The sequence below is a fragment of the Homo sapiens genome, chromosome 2 (genome assembly GCF_000001405.40).
Source record: "Homo sapiens chromosome 2, GRCh38.p14 Primary Assembly".
Lineage (NCBI taxonomy): Eukaryota > Metazoa > Chordata > Mammalia > Primates > Hominidae > Homo > Homo sapiens.
The window spans coordinates 42,521,419-42,541,021 of NC_000002.12; the positions used below are offsets into that span (position 1 = coordinate 42,521,419).

Consider the following 19,603-nt stretch of genomic DNA (forward strand, 5'->3'; position numbering starts at 1 on the left):
AGATTCCTAACCATAGAAACTAAGACAGTAATTGTTGTCTTAAGTCATTAAGTTTTGGGGTAATTTATCACATAACAATAGATAACTAATACCTCCTAAACCCTTGTACCACCTTCATGGGCAACTCAAACTAGTTGTAGTACAATGTTACACATGGATTTCCATATTATTACACAGGGCCATGGACCCGGGGCACACAGAAAGGAAGGGTGGCTCTCAAAATAGGCAGAGCCCTTTCCTCTCATTAATTCAAGCCAGTTTGAGAAGCCCTTTGTCAGACTGGCTAATCTAGGCTGGATAGTGTCCAGATAACTGCCCCTGAATCTTTCTCTCTTTTTTTTTTTTTTTTTTTTTGAGACAGAGTCTCACTCTGTTGCCCAGGCTGGAGTGCAATGGCACAGTCTTAGCTCACTGCAGCTTCCGCCTCCCCGGTTCAAGTGATTCTTCTGCCTCAGACTCCTGAGTAGCCGGGATTACAGGCACCTGCCATCATGTCCAGCTAATTTTTGTATTTTTGTAGAGATGGGGTTTCACCATGTTGGCCAGGGTGGTCTTGAACTCCTGACCTCAGGTGATCCACCTGCCTCGGCCTCCCAAAGTGCTGGGATTATAGGCATGAGCCACTGTGCCTGGCCACACCTGAATCTTTCTAAGGCAGCAAGCCAAGCTGTACAAGTCCAAGTCCAAATAAATACATAATTTCCTAACCTTTCCAGTTGTGTGATAGAGGCAGCCTCAGTAGTCTTCCTAGTCCTAAAGCAAACTGGGGAGACTTGGAGAGTGAGGTAGTTACAACCACCCTCCGTCCCTGACTTTGATATGCAAAGAGGATCCTCAGGGGTTACTTGCTGTAGAATGTGAGCTATCTGTGTCTAGGACCTGTGTCAAGGGTACAATCAGAGCACTGTGGCATCCCTGGGAGGGTAGGGGCAGGTGAACTGTGGCTCTTGCTATGAGGCTTGCTTGGGAATAATTTCGTTCCTTGCACCCACTTTCAGGAAGGAATATGATCAGCACCTCTGGAATGATATCTCTAGGCAAACTGCTTGACAGAATTGGGGGACACACGCTTCTGGCTTAGGGAAAGGCTGGAGGGACCCAGTGCGGTGGCTCACGCCTATAATCTCAGCACTTTGGGAGGCTAAAACGGGAGAATTGCTTGAGCCCAGGAATTCTAGACCATCCTGGGCATCACAGGGAGACCCCATCTCTACACAAAAAAATAAAAATTAGTTGAGTATGGTGGTGTGTACCTGTAGTCCCAGCTATTCCAGAGGCTGAGACAGGAGGATCCAGCTTGGGAGAGAGAGACCCTGTCTCAGAAAGATGGGAAAAAAAGGAAGGAAGGAAGGAGGGAGGGAAGGAAGAAGGGAGATCAACATGTGGTCTTTTTTTTTTTTTTTTTTTTGAGACAGGGTCTTACTTTGTCAGGTAGGCTAGAGTGCAGTGGCAGGATCACAGCTCCATTGCAGCTGCAACCTCCTGGGCTCTAGTGATCTTCCTGTCTCAGCCTCCCAAGTAGCTGGGACCACAGGCACTCGTCACCACACCCAGCTAATTTTTTTTTTCTTTGTAGAAACAGGGTCTCACTGTGTTGCCCAGTTTGGTCTTGAACTCCTGGGCTCAAGAGATCCTCCCATCTCAGGCCTCCCAGAGTGCTAGAATACAGGCGTGGGCCATCACACCCAGCCCAAAGATGAACTTTTCATCAGTGTTTATCCTAAAGGGGCTTTTAGTTCAATGTATATTCCTTGAACTTGGCCTCATAGTTCTGAATGTCAGTTGACTTCCCTGCCACCATGGGGTTGGATAGCTAGATGCCCCCCAAATCCACTCTCCCTTTCTTCCTGAGTAAGGAAGCAGTTATAGCAAGGCTGCATGTCCTGGGCAATCTTTGGGTAAGGTATGGCCAAGTACTAAGTCCTCATGATTGGCAAGAGAGCGGCAGTGAGACCAGGCCCTTAATTGAACGGCGTGTTCTCGTCAGGGTCTCTTCCCTGCTGCTGGAGCCTGAATAAGGCAACGATCCAGCCTCAACCAGGAAGATGAAGAAGAAAGAGCTACAAGAGGAAGAAACCTGACCCCTCAGTGACTTCAAGAGCAGAGCTGCCTGCCGACCTAGACGCTCATCTCAGTTGCTGTGTGAGACGGAAATCAGCGTTTGTTCTTTAAGCCACCGCATTCTGAAATTCTCTTTGAAACAGTAACTTATGGCTGGGTGCAGTGGCGCATGCTTGTAACCCCAGCACTTTGAGAGGCCGAGGCAGTAGGATCACTTGAGCCCAGGAGTTTCAGACCAGTTTGGGCAATGTGGCGAAACCTCTTCTCTAACAAAACAAAAACAAAACAAATAGCTGGGTGTGGTGGTGCATGCCTGTAGCCCCAGCTACTTGGGATGCTGAGGTGGGAGGATCACTTGAGCCGGGAAGTCAAGGCTGCAGTGAGCCATGATCGCACCATTGCACTCCAACCTGGGTGAAAGAGCCAGACCCTGTTTCTAAAATAAATAAGTAAATAAATAAATAAAAAAGGCAAGCCACGGACTGGAATAGAATATTTTTTAAAAAGAAAAAAAACCAGTAACTTAACAAACCCTCTCTCCCCAACAACTAATATGATTGCCTCTCCAGAAACAGAGACAATGTGTTGCCATGACCTGGGGGGGCCATCCTAAGAAACATCTTCAGCCAGGCTATGCTGACCCTAACAAAGGGAACCATGGTTCTAGATTGGAAACTCCTCAAGCCATTGGAGACACAAAGTAGTTCCTGGGCTTTGTACACTCTTCCCCTGGTAAAATTCCTGTCTTTCCCACACCACTCCCTTTGATTGACCTCCTGAAAAAGAGCATATGTTCAGCTTCAATGGTTGCAACCATTATTATTATTTTTTTTTTTTTTTAAATGGAGTCTCACCCTGTTGCCTGGGCTGAAGGGCCGTGGCCTGATCTGGGCTTGCTGCAAGCTCCGCCTCCTGGGTTCACGCCATTCTCCTGCCTCAGCCTCTCGAGTAGCTGGGACTACAATTGCCCGCCACCACGCCTGGCTAGTTGTGTTTTTTTTTTTTTTTTTTTTTTTTGTATTTTTTAGTAGAGATGGGGTTTCACCATGTTAGCCAGGATGGTCTCAATCTCCTGACCTCGTGATCTGCCCATCTCGGCCTCCCAAAGTGCTGGGATTACAGGTGTGAGCCACCGCGCCCCGCCAGCTGCAACCATTATTTGGGGGAAGTGCAAGACCATCTTCATCCCTGTATTGCTCTTCACATACCCTGGCCCAAGATTCATGCCAAAGACAGATGCTCCCAATCTTGGGGTGATGCTTCTTTGTCTCAGAACCTGAAAACACTAGGGCCCTAAAACTTTGTATTTTGACACTGGTGGAAGAGAACAAAAACCTATCTAGCATCCAAAAAAAAAAAAAGAAAAAAAGAGACACCTGCAGTAAGGCCACCTTCCAGGCCTGAAGGCATCCTGGCGGGGACCGAATACTCCATGACCACACAGTTGAATTACCGAAGGTGAAGCGCCTGTGGGTCTCTTTTTTTTTTTTTTTTATACTTTAAGTTTTAGGGTACATGTGCACAACGTGCTGGTTTGTTACATATGTATACATGTGCCATGTTGGTGTGCTGCACCCATTAACTCATCCTTTAGCGTTAGGTATATCTCCTAATGCTATCCCTCCCCCCTCCCCCACCTGTGGGTCTCTTGAGAGTTGAGATGTGGTAGGTACAGCAAGTTTGTTTTTCAGCACTTCAATTTCTTTTTCTTCTTCTTCTTTTTTTTTTTTGAATTTTGAGTTTGGGGTTTTGCTTTGTTGCCCAGGCTGGGGTGCAGTGGCACGATCTCAGCTCCCTGCAACCTCCACCTCTCAGGTTCAAGCAATTCTCGTGCCTCAGCCTCCTGAGTAGCTGGGATTACAGGCACTTACCACCATGCCTGGCTGATTTTTTGTATTTTAGTAGAGATGGGATTTCACCGTGTTGCCCAGGTTGGTCTTGCACTCCTGAGCTCAGGCAATCTGCCCGTCTCAGCCTCCCAAAGTGCTAGGATCAATTCCTTCCTTCCTTCCTTCCTTCCTTCCTTCCCCTTCCTTTCTTCCCTTCCTTCCTTCCCCTTCCTTCATTCCTTCCCCTTACTTCCTTCCTTTCCTTCCTTCCCCTTCCTTCCTTTCCTTCCTTCCTTTCCTTCCTTCCTTCCTTCCTACTTTCTTTCTTTCTTTCTTTCTTTTTTTCCTTCTTTCTTTCTTTCTTTCGTAGATGAGGTCTCGCTCCCTCATCCAGGCAGGAGCACAGTGGCACAATCTCGGCTCACTGTAACCTCTGCCTCCGAGGCTCAAATGATCCTCCCACCTCAGCCTCTCAAGAAGCTGGGACCACAGGTGCACGCCACCATGCCTGGCTAATTTTTTGTATTTTTCGGTAGAGACGGGGTTTCACCTCGTTGCCCAAGCTGGTCTCAAACTCCTGAGCTCAGGCAATCCACCTGCCTCAGCCTCCCCAAGTGCTAGGATTACAGGCATGAGCCACCGCGCCTGCCCTAGCACTTCAGTTTCAACCTATCCTTTGCCAGAGAGAAAGAACCCCCTCGTTAATGCCTTCCTTGGAATCCAGAGTACCCAGGAATTTCAAATGCCACCTGAAGAAACCCACAGCCAGGTAACCCCACCTTGACCTAGAAATAATTGCCCAGAACCAACAGTAACAATGCTCTAATCCCAAGAGTCCCATCACCCAGATAAAGCCCCAGAGAAAGGCCGGTACAGGGGTGGCTGCCTTCCCTTATAGCTGGTTGTTTGCCCTGCTGGGTTTTGTTTAGTTTTTGTTTTTGAGACAGGGTCTCACTACGTTGCCCAAGCTGGTCTCAAACTCCTGTGCTCAAGCAAGACTCCCATCTCAGCCTCCTGGGTAACTGGGATTACAGGCGCATGCCACCGAGGCCGATTGGCCTTCTGGGTGAGGCCAAGATTCCTGGCTCTCCCTGTGTCCCACACTTCTCCAGAAGCCCCCAGGGTCCTGCCAAGATGATCAGTACATTCCTTGGAATGTCTATTGGCCCTACCAACACTCAGTGTGAACCCAGATACATCACAGGCACTCGGATGTCAACATCCACCGTCATCTCTGGGCACCCTGGCAGACGGCTTGTGACATTATTTACCTCTATGATCCCCTATTTTGGGACCATGATTTATTTGTCCTTCCTTCTATTCAACAACATTTACTGAGAAATTGGTATGTGGTTAGGCACCGTTCTAGTATCTGAAACAACAGGGTGAATAAAAGTGAACCTGAAAGAGGCTACCCTTCAAGATGGATTCAATGGGCTAATGACATAAATTTCAAATAGAGCCAGGCTGGGTACAGTGGCTCACGCCTGTAATCCCAGCACTTTAGGAGGCCAAGGCGGGCAGATCATGAGGTCAAGAGATCGAGACCATTCTGACCAACATGGTGAAACCCCGTCTCTACTAAAATAACAAAAATTAGCTGAGTGTGGTGATGCTTGCCTGTAGTCCCAGCTACTCGAGAAGCTGAGGCAGGAGAATCACTTGAACCCAGGAGGGAGAGGTTGCAGTGAGCTGAGATCCCGCCACTGCACTCCAGCCTGATAACAAAGCAAGACTCTGTCTCAAAAAAAAAAAAAAAAAAAAAAAAAGAGCCAAGCAGCCATTTGCGGACTAGAGGTTACAAATGTACTCCGAGTTTCCAGAAAACCCCTACTTCTTTAACTTTGGGACTTTTGGAGCTCACCTGAACCAATCAATCAAAGCTCAACTGAACCAACCAATCAGGCCTCAGCTGTATCAACAAATCAAGGCTCAGCTGTGTTGACCAATCAACACTCAGCTGCATCACCCAATTGGAACTAAGCAAGTTTGAATCCTTCATTTGCATAAATGGACCTGATCAGGAAATGGGGCCCAAACTTTTGTTATAAAACCCAACTCCTCCCTTTGTTCTTTGGACCACACCTTCTTTTATAGTGAAGGCCGCATCTCTGAGGTTTGCAAACTGTCCACTGCAATACTCTTTTTTCCTCTAGATTCCTTTTCAGAGAACTTTTGTTCACAATAGCAATGAACAAAATCAACAAAATCTGTAGCTTTGGCCCTTATATTCTAGGGGTGGAGGGAGATGATAACTTTAAAAAGCAAATACAGACATTTATCTACATTATCTACAGAATACCTGACCAGTACTCCTCAAAAGTGTTAAATAAAGTTTAATAATTTTTTTAATTAAATATATATTAGGTGCTGATGAATGGCATCAAGAAAAAGCAGGAGTATCAGGCATGATGGCATTTGCATATGTTTCAGCTACTCAAGACACTGAGGTAGGAGGGTCACTTGAGCCCAGAAGGGTGAGGCCAGCCTGGTCAATATAATAGGATCATGTCTTTAAAAAAAAAAAAACAAAAACAAGTGCTATTTCTCGAACATAGTAAGGGTTTTGTCCTCCATGAGATAGCATGAGATCTCTCCTTGGTCTTATGACTTCTTTTTCTTTTCTTTTTTGAGACGGAATCTCACTCTGTCACCCAGACTGGACCAGTACAGTGGTGCAATCTCAGTTCACTGCAGTCTCCACCTCCCGGGTTCAAGTGATTCTCTTGCCTCAGCCTCCCGAATAGCTGGGACTACAGGCACGTGCCACCATGCCCAGCTAATTTTTTTGTATTTTTAGTAGAGACAGGGTTTCACCGTGTTACCCAGGATGATCTCAATCTCCTGACCTCGGGATCTGCCCGCCTCGGCCTCCCTAAGTGCTGGGATTACAGATGTGAGCCACCGTGCCCGGCCCCCTTTTTTTTTTGGAAATAGAGTCTTGCTCTGTTGCCCAGGGTGGAGTGCGGTGGCGTGATCTCGGCTCCTGCAGCCTCCGCCTCCCAGGTCCAAGCTATTCTCCTGCCTCAGCCTCCCAAGTAGCTGGGATTACAGGCACCTGCCACCACACCCGGCTAATTTTTGTATTTTTAGTAGAGATGGAGTTTCGTCATGTTGGCCAGGTTGGTCTCGAACCCCTGGCCTCAAGTGATCCACCCGCCTCGGCCTCCCAAAGTGCTGGGATTACAGGCATGAGCCACCGCGCCTGGACGGTCTCATAATTTCTAAATGGCATGTGTCTTTGCGGAGAGCCAGGGAAATTACTTGTTTCTTTTGTAAAGGAGCACAGTTTTTAGAGACAGACCTGGTCATTTGAATCTTGGCTTTACTACTGAAGAGATGTGTGATCTTCGGAAAATTGCCTGCCCTTTCTGAGCATCAGTTTCTTCATTGATTTCAGCCACTTTCAGTTTTGTTTGTTCATTTTGTTAAAAGAAAGACTTTAGACAAATTAAATTTAACAGAGTTTAATTGAGCAAAGAACGACTTGTGACTTGGTCAACCCCCAGAACAAGAAGAGGTACAGAGCAACTCCATGCTGCTGTGTGGTCAGAGAATTTATGGACAGAAAAAGAAAGTGACACACAGAAACAGCTGGATTGGTTACCCTGCAGCGTTTGCCTTATTTGAATAGGGTTCAAACATTTGGTTACCTTTGTTTGGCAAAACTTGGAGATTGGTACTGGAGTAGTTTGTAGCCTGTTTACACATCCCGTTAAGTTACAGTTTACCATGTGAAAAAGAAACCTTTAGGCAGAACTTAAAATATGTAGGAGGCAGCTTTAGGCTAAACTTAATTTACTGGGTTTTTTTGTTTGTTTGTTTTAAGCAGTGGAGCCATTTAAAAAAACAATATGGCTTGCAAAATCTTGATGTATAAATAGATAAAAAGGAACTCTCTTGGGTTAGGGGGAGCTTAGAGAGTAAAGGGCAAGACCAGCTAGGCCTCTTTACTCTCTTTTACTATCCTATTCTAAGCAGTCCCCAGAGGATCTCTATAATCTGGGAGCTTCGCAGGGCAGTGTTTGAAGACCACTGTTCTAGACCAAAGGAATTGGCACAGCTTCACCAGCCCCTGGTCTTGGTCCATCATGCTCCAGGTCCTCACCTGTCCTTAGGTGCCAAGGGCCATAAGACAACCACCTACTGTTTAAGCAACTGAGAGCCAAGAGAGAAAGACCTTCTGCACCTCACCTTGTCCTGTACCCTCGTTTTTATTTCCAATCTAAGGACTTACTGTTTCTTCAGTGATTGGCACCAAGCATAACCTCACTCCTCAGGTGATTGTGCCTCCCACGTGTTTTCTGTTTCCTTTGCAAGGCCCTAACTCTTGGCATTTGGGTAGCAGCGGTGTGAGACAGGCAATGTGACCAGCAGTGAGGTATTTGAGGAGCATCTGATGAACTTCATCCATCTGAATTTCCCTGCCCTACAACTGAAGTTGTTAATGCTGGGCACAGAATGGTGTAGGGCAGGTTCTTAACCATAAGGACCAGGAGGCAAAGAAAATCTAAAAGGTTTAACGGCACTCCATAAAAATGCATCAATCCAGATGAGTCGGTCAGAGAGGCAAAAACTTCTCATTAAGATTACAATCGGACAGGCGCGGTGGCTCACGCCTGTAATCCCAGCACTTTGGGAGGCCAAGGCAGGAGGATCACGAGGTCAGGAGTTCGAGACCAGCCTGGCCAACATGGTGAAACCAGTCTCTACTGAAAATACAAAAATTAGCCGGGCGTGGTGGTGGGCGCCTGTAATCCCAGCTACTCGGGAGGCTGAGGCAGGAGAATAGCTTGAAACCGGAGGGCAGAGGTTGCAGTGAGCCAAGATCATACCACTGCACTCCAGCTTGGGCAAAAGAGCAAAACTCCATCTCAAAAAAAAAAAAGATTACAACCATTGCCGGCATGGTGGCTCCTGCCTGTAATCCCAGCACTTTGGGAGGCCAAGACAGGCGGATCATGAGGTCAGGAGATTGAGACCGTCCTGGCTAACATGGTGAAACCGTCTCTACTAAAAATACAAAAAATTAGCCAGGCTTGGTGGCGGGCGCATGTAGTCCCAGCTACTTGGGAGGCTGAGGCTGGAGAATGGCGTGAACCCAGGAGGCGGAGCTTGCAGTGAGCCGAGATGGCGCCACTGCACTCCAGCCTGGGCGACAGAGCGAGACTCCGTCTCAAAGGAAAAAAAAAAGGGCTGGGAGCGGTGGCTCATGCCTGTAATCCAACAATTTGGGAGGCCGAGGCGGGCAGATCACCTGAGGTCGGGAGTTTGAGACCAGTCTGACCAACATGGAGAAACCCCCTCTCTACTAAAAATACAAAAAATTAGCTGGGCGTAGTGGCGCATGCCTATAATCCCAGCTACTCGGGAGGCTGAGGCAGGAGAATCGCTTGAACCTGGGAGGCGGAGGTTGCGGTGAGCCGAGATCACACCGTTGCACTCCAGCCTGGGCGACAAGAGTGAAACTCTGTCTGAAAAAAAGAAAAAAGAAACTTAATCCCCATTGTGGTAGTATTTTTTGTTTGTTTGTTTTTTTGAGACAGAGTCTCACTTCATCACCCAGGCTAGAGTGCAATGGCGCAATCTCAGCTCACTACAACCTCCACCTCCCAGGTTTAAGCAATTCTCCTGCCTCAGCTCCCCGAGTATCTGGGACCACAGGTGCGCGACACCACAGCTGGCTAATTTTTGTATTTTTAGTAGAGATGGCGTCTCGCCATGTTGGCCAGGCTGGTCCTGAACTCCTGACCTCAGGTGATCTGCTCACCTGGGCCTCCAAAAGTGTTGGGATTACATGTGTGAGCTACCATGCCCGGCCCCATGTGGCAGTATTAAGAGGTGGAGCCTGTTGGTAAGTAAGCCGGACTTTCATAAGACAGCAAACCTGCCAGCACCTTTACCTTGGGACCTCACAGCCTCCAGAACCCCACATAAGCTTCTACTGTTTACCCGGGTCTGTGGTATATTGTTATTGCCAGACAATGGCCTAAGACAAATGCTATAACCACTATTATTTTCTGAGCCCTTTTTCATGCATGGTCAAAGCAATTCCAAACTAGTATGTAACTATGTAACACACAAAGAGTGGATGCTTTAAACAATCTATTTTTTTAGTAGGATTCAGAAGCAAACTCTTTTTTTTTTTTTTTTTTTTTTTTTGAGAAGGACTCTTGCTCTATCGCCCAGGCTAGAGTGCAGTGGCCCAATCTTGGCTCACCGCAACCTCTGCCTCCCGGGTTCAAGCAATTCTCCTGCCTCAGCCTCCCGAGTAGGTGGGACTACAGGCGTGTGCCACCACACCCAGCTAATTTTGGTATTTTTAGTAGAGATGAGGTTTCACCATATTGGCCAGGCTGGTCTCAAACTCCTGACCTTGTGATCTGTCCACATCAGCCTCCCAAAGTGCTGGCATTACAGAAGTGAGCCACTGGGCCCGGCCAAAATCCAGCTTTTTGTTTTTTTTGAGACGGAGTCTCGCTCTGTCACCCAGGCTGGAGTGCAGTGGCACAATCTCGGCTCACTGCAAGCTCCGCCTCCTGGGTTCACGCCATTCTCCCGCCTCAGCCTCCCGAGTAGCTGGGACTACAGGTGCCTGCCACCACACCCAGCTAATTTTTTGTATTTTTAGTAGAGATGGTATTTCACTGTGTTAGCTAGGATGGTCTCGATCTCCTGACCTCATGATCTGCCCACCTCGGCCTCCCAAAGTGTTGGGATTATAGGTGTGAGCCACCACGCCCGACCAAAATCCAGCTTTTTAATGCTACAATTATGAGTATTAAACTTTCCCTGAGCTTAGCCATAATCCAATAGATAACGTTCCACTTATTTTTGTAAATTATTTTATTTCTTCCATGATGATTTAGAAGGACTATCTTCAAACAAGTACAAATATTTCGTACATAATATCTGGCCTAGGCCGTGTGCAGTGGCTCATACCTGTAATTGCAGCACTTTGAGAGGTTGAGATGGGTGGATCACTTGAGGTCAGTAGTTCAAGACTAGCCTGATCAACATGGTGAACCCCATCTCTACTAAAAACACAAAAATTAGCCAGGTGTCATGGCGGGTGACTGTAATCCCAACTACCTGGGAGGCTGAGGCAGGAGAAGCCCTTCTACCCGGAAGGCAGAGGTTGCAGTGAGCCAAGACTGCGCCTCTGCACTCCAGCCTGGGCGACACAGTGAGACGCCATCTCAAAAAACAAAAAAAGAAAAAAAGTATATCTGGCTGTTTTCTAACCAATTCAGTAATTTGTTGCACAATAAGCCACCTCACATCTTTCAGCAAGACATAAACTAAATTTGAATAGTAAAGACATTACACAATAAATTAGTACACAATTAAAATTTGGTTTAAATATTTCTTTGGGGGAGAGGACACCACACTTCTACTCAATGAAGAGAAACATTTTTACAATCCAGAGGTTTTTTTTTTTTTAAACACCTATTATGCATGAACTCATAGGGAATGGGTTCCAGCAGCTCGGGCTCCTTCCCATTGGTTCTCTCACAGTGTGCTTCTCTGGGTGGAGCTGGCTGGCACTTCAGTTGAACCCAGGCACCTTTCTCTTTGGCTTCTTTTTTTCCTGACCATTTTCCTTCACGCGCTTCAGGAAGCTCTCTCAGCTCAGAGAGTGCTTAATGTGCTCAATATGCACATTAATTCTCTTAGCAAGAACCTTGCCCTTGTTTGTTTACAGCAATGCCAACAGCATGCTGGGTGGCATTGCAGACTTCCACTTTTGCCATGGTAACACTTGTGGGGCATTCTTTTTTTTTTTTTTTTTTTTTGAGATGGAGTCTTGCTCTTGTCGCCCAGGCTGGAGTGCAATGGCTCACTGCAACCTCCACCTCCTGGGTTCAAGTGATTCTCCTCCCTCAGCCTCCTGAGTTGCTGGGATTACAGGTGCCTGCCACTGCGCCCGCCACCATGCCCGGCTAATTTTTCTATTTTTAGTAGAGATGGGGTTTTACCATGTTGGTCAGGCTAGTCTCGAACTCCTGACCTCAGGAGATCCGCCCGCCTTGGCCTCCCAAAGTGCTGGGATTACAGGTGTGAGCAACAGCGCCTGGCCAACTCCATGTTTTCTAAAAGGCCTAGAGAACACATTTTGGGTGCTCGTCATTTTGGCGAGTTACTGGAAGATGGCGGTTCCAGCCGAAAGGAAGATTCTGTTTCTTTTCCTTTCTTTCTTTCTTTTCTTTTCTTTTTTTTTTTTTTTAGGAAAATAAAGAAAAGGCCTGGCGCAGTGGCTCACGCCTGTAATCCCAGCACTTTGGGAGGCCGAGGTGGGCGGATCACGAGGTTAGGAGATCGAGACCATCCTGGCTAACACAGTGAAACCCCGTCTCTACTAAAAATACAAAAATTAGCAGGGCGTAGTGGCGGGCGCCTGTAGTCCCAGATACTCGGGAGGCTGAGGCAGGAGAATCGCTTGAACCCAAGAGGCCGAGGGTGCAGTGAGCTGAGATCGTGCCACTGCACTCCAGCCTGGGTGACAGAGCGAGACTCCGTCTCAAAAAAAAAAAAAAAAAAGGAAAATAAAGAAACGAAAGAATGGCTATTCCATAGACAGAGCAGCCGATTTTCTCTCTTTCTTTTTACTTTTTCTGTTGTGGCTACCAGACAAGTTTAAGTTGCATCTCGTTCACATTATTGGGCATGGTGGTTTAGACTCTGGGCCCTAGCGAGATCTCCTGAGGCTGGAAAATCAAGAAGGAGGGACTTTTTCTTAGAAAACCTGAAACCTTCCCTTTGGATGAGGCAGAGGTTAAAAACACCCACTCAGAAGCAGCTGAAATGGAGTCTCTCTAACCACTTTTCTTGGTGGAAGATCCTAACATGTTCGGTAGGATTCTGAAGGTAGGGAGCAGATTTGCATAGAGCAGGAATCTTCACTACAGCCTGCCTGGAACTGGCCCCATCACTGATTTCTCCAATACACTTCAGTGCCCACCCTAGGTTGTTTGATGGAAGATTAGCTTTAATTGTATAAAATGAGGCTGGGTGCCGTGGCTCAAGCCTATAATCCCAGCACTTGGGAGGCCGAGGTGGGTGGATCACCTGAGGTCAGGAGTTCAAGACCAGCCTGGCCAACACGGCAAAACCCCGTCTCTACTAAAAATACAAAAAATTAGCCAGGAGTGGTGGTGAGCACCTGTAGTTCCAGCTATTCGGGAGGCTGAGGGAGGAGAATCGCTTGAACCCGGGAGGCAGAGGTTGCAGTGAGCCAAGATCGAGCCACCGCACTCCAGCCTGGGCGATGAGTGAAACTCTAAAAAAAAGAAGAAAAAGAAAAAGAAAAATTGTATAAAATGGACAAACCCCAAAATAACACTGGCATAAACAACTCAGAACTTTATTTCTCTCCTAAGGAAAAAAATAGTTTTGAGGGAAATAAACTTCTGTCTTGTTTATTCTACTGTTATTTTGGACTTCATCTATTATATGCCACTGAACCTAACTATTAGCGTTGTGTGGATTCCTTTTTTTAGAAATGGGGTCTCACTGTGTTGCCTAGGCTGGTCTTGAATCCTGAGCTCAAGTGATCCGCTAGCCTTGGCCTCCCAAAGTGCTGGTTTTACTGGCGTGAGCCACTGCACCTGGCCTGTTGCATGGATTTCTAACAGCCTTCTTGGACCTGAGACAATGAATGAATGAAAGCAGACAAACAAGATTGAAGGAATCTAGATCCTGGATGACAATGGAGCTGTCATTGGCTTGTTATCTATTAGAATCCCATATTTCAAGCAGTAGAAAGGAGAAAGGGCAAGGAATAAGACCCAGTACAGGCTGGGCGCGGTGGCTCACGCCTGTAATCCCAGCACTTTGGGAGGCAGAGGCAGGTGAATCACCTGAGGTCAGGAGTTCGAGACCAGCCTGGCCAACATGGTAAAACCCCGTCTCTACTAAAAATACAAAAATTAGCCAGGCATGGTGGCACATGCCTGTAATCCCAGCTACTCGGGAGGCTGAGGCAGGAGGATCACTTGAACCTGGGAGGCGGAGATTGCAGTGAGCCAAGATGGTGCCATTGCACTCCAGCCTGGGCAACAGAGCAAGACTTTGTCAAAAAAAAAACAGACAAACTTTTTTTTTATTAAAAATTTTTTTGTGTGTGGAGATGGGATCTCACCATGTTGCACAGGCTGATCTTGAACTCTTGGCCTCCCAAAGTGTTGGAATCACAGGCCTGAGCCACTGCACCCAACTCCCTTCCTTCCTTTTAAGGAGACTACCCAGAAATACCATGTAATACTTCTACTTGCATTTCATTGGCTAGAAGTTGGTCAGATGGTATATCTAGCTTCTAGAGAGGGTGGGAAGTGCCTTTTAGCTAGTTAAATAGCTGCCTTAAATAAAATCAGGGTTATGTTGTTAAGAAGGAAGAGGAGAATGAATGTTGGAGTAAGCAACACATGCATAATAACCCTTGGGTAAGTGTTGACCTGTCACTCTGAAAGGATCCTGGGGGTGGTCCTACAGCTTCCAGCATGAGCTTGGAGATAAAAATGGAGCCACTGGCTGGGCACAGTGGCTCATGCCTGTAATCCTAGCACTTTGGGAGGTCAAGCCAGGAGGATCCCATGAGCCCAGGAGTTTGAGACCAGCCTGGGCATTATAGTGAGATCCCGTCTCTACAAAAATATTAAAAAATTACCCAGATGTGGTGAGGCAGATCTGTTGTCACAGCTACTCAGGAAGTTGAGGCAGGAAGATTGCTTGAGTCTGGGAGTTCGAGGCTGCAGTAAGCTATGTTCATGCCAGTGCCCTCCAGCCTGGGCAACAGTGAGACTCTCTCTCTCAAAAAAAAAAAAAGCCATAGAGCATTTACCCCACAACGGTCTCCCCCGGGCCATATGAAAATCGAGGGGTTAGGCTGGGCGCAGTTGCTCACACCTGTAATCCCAGCACTTTGGGAGGCTGAGATGGGTGGATCACCTGAGGTCGGGAGTTTGAGACCAGCCTGGCCAATATGAAGAAACCCCGTCTCTAATAAGAATACAAAAAATTAGCTGGGCCTGGTGGCACATGCCTGTAATTCTAGCTACTTGGGAGACTGAGGCAGGAGAATTGCTTGAACCTGGGAGGCGGAGGTTGCAGTGAGCTGAGATCTCGCCATTGCACTCCAGCCTGGGCAACAAGATCGAAACTCCATCTCAAAAATAAAGGAAAAAGAAAAAAAGAAAATGGAGGTGTTAGAGACCCTTTCCGAGGCAATCCTGCTTCAGTGATAATTGAGTGATTAGGAGTATATAGTGGAGGCTGGGCGTGGTGGCTCACGCCTGTAATCCCAGCACTTTGGGAGGCTGAGGCAGGCGGATCACGAGGTCAGGAGATGCAGGCCATCCTGGCTAACACGGTGAAACCCCGTCTCTACTAAAAATACAAAAAATTAGCCGGGCGTGGTAGCAGGCGCCTGTAGTCCCAGCTACTCAGGAGGCTGAGGCAGGAGAATGGCGTGAACCCGGGAGGCAGAGCTTGCAGTGAGCCAAGATTGTGCCACTGCACTCCAGCCTGGGCAACAGAGTGAGACCCCATCTCAAAAAAAAAAAAAAAAAAAGGGAGTATATAGTGGTCCCTCATGTCCCATGTTTGACCCCAACACAGGTATCCCGGATCACCTGGGTGTAAGGAAAAAAGGTTTTCTAAAAGGGAATACAGTGGATCCCAAAATCTCTGTAGAACACATCCAAGGTCTTCAATATATTGTAGCATGTGGCTAGAACATTGTCACAGTGATACAGCCTTAACCCTTAGTGTAAGCCCCAGGTTATGCCCATCCCTGTACAGCTGACCTCCTCCACATTCTACACCTGTTAGGACTCTGTAAACTCATCCCAGCATAGACACACCTCTGTCGTGTTCCTTCTAAAGATATTGGCCTGAATGTGGTCACTAAAAAACAACCAGTCAAGTCCAAGTTGGGGAACAAGCTACCTGAACTCTTTAAAAGTTATCAATGTTGGCCAGGTGCAGTGGCTCACACCTGTAATCCCAGCACTTTGGGAGGCCAAGGCGGGCAGATCACCTGAGGTCAGGGGTTCGAGACCAGCCTGGCCAAACATGGTAAAACTTCATCTCTACTAAAAATACAAAAATTAGCTGGGCATAGTGGTGGGTGCCTGTAATCCCCACTACTCGGGAGGCTGAGACAGGAGAATCGCTTGAACCCGGGAAGCGGAGGTTGCAGTGAGCTGAGATCAAGCCATTGCACTCCAGCCTGGAAGACAAGAGTGAAACTCCATCTCAAAAAAATAAATAAATAAACAAAATAAAATAAAATAGTATCAATGTTAAAGACAGGGAAGTGCTGGGAAATGGTTCTGGATTAGAAGAGGCTGAGGAGCTATGACAACGAAATGCATTGCGTAATCATTTATTGATCATAAATCAAAAAGAATATCACCTATCAGGGACATTATTCAGGAAATTGGAGCATTTTAATGGGGGCTATATGTTGGATGAAACTATGGAATGTTGAAATTCCTGGATGTGGTCATTCTTTTTAGAGTTTGTAGGAAAGTGTCTTTCTTCTTAGGAGATATATGTTGAGGTGATAGGGGGTGGAGTATCATGATATCTGTACCTGACTTCCGGGTAGTTCAGCAAATAACAATGATAATTTTGACAATAGGCCAGGCACAGTGGCTCATGCCTGTAATCCCAGCACTTTGGGTGGCCGAGGCAGGCAGATCACGAGGTCAGGAGATTGAGACCATCCTGGCTAACACGGTGAAACCCCGTCTCTACTAAAAAATACAAAAAATCAGACAGGTATGGTGGCGGGCACCTGTAGTCCCAGCTACTCAGGAGGCTGAGGCAGGAGAATGGCGTGAACCCGGGAGGTGGAGCTTGCAGTGAGCTGAGATCACGCCACTGGACTCCAGCCTGGGCGACACAGCGAGACTCTGTCTCGAAAAATAAATAAATAAAATAATTTTGACAATAATAAATGTGTAGATATCAATAAATGGAAAGATGAGCATATTGGCCAATCGGTAAGTATGGGTGATAGCTATATGGGTGTTCATTATCTTGTTCTTGTAACTTTTCTGTAGATTTGAGCTTTTTTAGGATAAAAAGTTTGGCAAAAATATGATAAATGTTAGGCCGGGTGCGGTGGCTCATGCCTGTAATCCCAGCACTTTGGGAGGCCAAGGCAAGCAGATCACCTGAGGTGAGGAGTTCGAGACCAGCCTGGCCAACATGGTGAAATGCCATCTCTACTAAAACTACAAAAATTAGCTGGGCGTGGTAGTGGGCACCTGTAACTCCTGCTACTCAGGAGGCTGATGCAGGAGACTCACTTGAACCTGGGAGATGGAGATTGCAGTGAGCCCAGATCGTGCCACTGCATTCCAGCCTGGGCGACAGAATATGATGACTCTTTCTAAAAAAAAAAAAAAAAAGAAAAAGAAAAGAAAAGAAAAAGAAAAAAATGTTTTTTTTGTTTTTTTTTGTTTTTTTTGAGACGGAGTCTCGCCTTGTCGCCCAGGTCGGACTGCGGACTGCAGTGGCGCAATCTCGGCTCACTGCAAGCTCCGCTTCCCGGGTTCACGCCATTCTCCTGCCTCAGCCTCCCGAGTAGCTGGGACTACAGGCGCCCGCCACCGTGCCCGGCTAATTTTTTGTATTTTTAGTAGAGACGGGGTTTCACCTTGTTAGCCAGGATGGTCTCGATCTCCTGACCTCATGATCCACCCGCCTCGGCCTCCCAAAGTGCTGGGATTACAGGCGTGAGCCACCGCTCCCGGCCTGAAAAAAATGTTATAAGTGTTTCAATGTATGAAGCTTTTTTCCCTCTCTGTGCCTAAAATTATTTCTTTAGGTTAGTTCCTTAGTTTGTCAGGAGTAGAATTACGGGGTAAAAGAATATTGTGTATTAGTCCATTCTCATACTGCTATAAGGACATACCCGAGACTGGATAATTTATAAAGGAAAGAGGTTTAATTGACTTACAGTTCCGCAGGGCTGGGGAGGCTTCAGGAAACTTACAGTCATGGAAGGGGAAAAAAACAAGTCCTTCTTCACAGGGCAGCAGGAGAGAGAAGAATGAGAGCTGAGCAAAGGGGGAAGCCCCTTATAAAATCATCAGATCTCGTGAGAACTTACTATCACGAGAATAGCATGGGGGAAACTGCCCCCACGATTAAATCACCTCCCACCAGGTCCCTCTCACCACATGCGGGGATTATGGGACCTACAATTCAAGATGAGATTTGGGTGGGGACACAGCAAAACCATTATCAATTGTAAAGCTTTTTTTTTTTTTTTTTTTTTTGAGACAGGGTCTTGCTTTGTCTCCCGGGCTAGAATGCAGTGGTGTGATCTCAGCTCACTGCAGCCTCAACTGCCTGGACTCAAGTGATCCTCCCACCTCAGCCTCCTGAGTAGCTGGGACTACAGTCATGTGCCACCATGCCCAGCTAATTTTTATAGAGACGAGGTCTCACTATGTTGCCCAGGCTGGTCTTGAACTCCTGGACTCAAGAGTTTCTGCCTCCTTGACCTCACAAGGTGCTAGGGTTATAGGCATGAGCCACCACTCCTGGATAGCATTTTAAAGCTCTTGATAAGCTACACTCTAAATTCCTTAAGGAAATGGCCTGTGGTTTCCTGAGAACATATCTCTCTTCCTGCTGTAGAATGGCTTCTTCTGCTCAGCTAGAAACTCCTCTGCCACCAGAAAGAAGCTGCACCTTCCTCCCTCTCTCTGGCTGGAAATTTTTAAATAACGGGGGAGGGATCTGATGGATCCAGTGCATCACAGGCCCTGTCCAATCACCAGGAGTTGAGTCAGGTGAAGGAGGTGGGGGCCCATTACAGCCAATAGTGGGCATTAACTTTGTAGATTTTTTTTTTTTTTTTTTTTGTAGACAGGGTCTCACTCTGTCACTCAGGGTGTGGTGCAATGGCAGGATCATAGCTCACTGCAGCCTCAAACTCTTAAGCTCAAGTGACTCTCCTGCCTTAGCCTCCTGAGTAGGTAGAACTACAGGCACATGCCACCACACCCAGCTAATTTAAAACATTTTTTGTAGAGATGGGGTCTTCTATGTTGCCCAAGCTGGTCTTGAACTCCTGGTCTCAAGCAATCCTCCTGCCTTGGCCTCCCAAAGAGTTGGGATTAGACATAAGCCACAATACCCAGGCTGTAAATACCCTTGACAGGGGAAAATGATCTGTCTATATTTTGAAAAAGTATTTTCCCTTTGTCATTAATATTCTTTCCCCAGCTGGGCACAGTAGCTCACACCTCTAATCCCAGGCCTTTGGAAGGCCGAGGCAGGAGGATCGCTTGAGGCCAGGCGTTCAAGACCAGCCTGGGCAACATAGTAAGACCTTGTCTCTACAAAAAATTTAAAAATTAGCCAGGCATGGTGGTGCATGCCTGTAGTCCTACCTACTTGGAAGGCTGAGGTAGAAGAATCACTTGATCCCAAGAGTTTGTGGTTGCAGTGAGCTGTGATCGTGCTATTGCACTCCAGCCTGGGTGGCAGAGCAAGACCCTGTCTCAAAAAAAAAAAAATTAAAAAAAAAAAGTTTTTTCCCAAATTGATAATTTGCCTTTTAATGTTAGCCATTCAGTAAACAATTCAATGCACGAATTTTGTACTACACATGGTCCCTGACTTATGATGGTTCAACTTAAGATTTTTCGACTTCATGATGGTACAAAAGCCATACACATTCAGTGGAAACC

General features: G+C 46.9%; 1 protein-coding gene across 1 annotated transcript in view, besides 2 other annotated features; it reads left to right on the plus strand.

Moving 5' to 3' along the window:
- The window catches only part of MTA3 (metastasis associated 1 family member 3), a 262,837-nt gene that overhangs the window by 27,309 nt on the left and 215,925 nt on the right, over positions 1–19,603 (plus strand). The window lies entirely within an intron of this gene.
- Positions 3,610–4,110: an enhancer, noted in NCBI's record as "H3K27ac-H3K4me1 hESC enhancer chr2:42752168-42752668 (GRCh37/hg19 assembly coordinates)". NCBI's record gives its function as "activates a minimal SCP1, AML or CMV promoter by ChIP-STARR-seq in naive H9 embryonic stem cells {active_cell/tissue: H9 hESC(naive)}" and the evidence as "EXISTENCE:reporter gene assay evidence [ECO:0000049][PMID:30033119]".
- Positions 4,111–4,611: an enhancer, noted in NCBI's record as "H3K27ac-H3K4me1 hESC enhancer chr2:42752669-42753169 (GRCh37/hg19 assembly coordinates)". NCBI's record gives its function as "activates a minimal SCP1, AML or CMV promoter by ChIP-STARR-seq in naive H9 embryonic stem cells {active_cell/tissue: H9 hESC(naive)}" and the evidence as "EXISTENCE:reporter gene assay evidence [ECO:0000049][PMID:30033119]".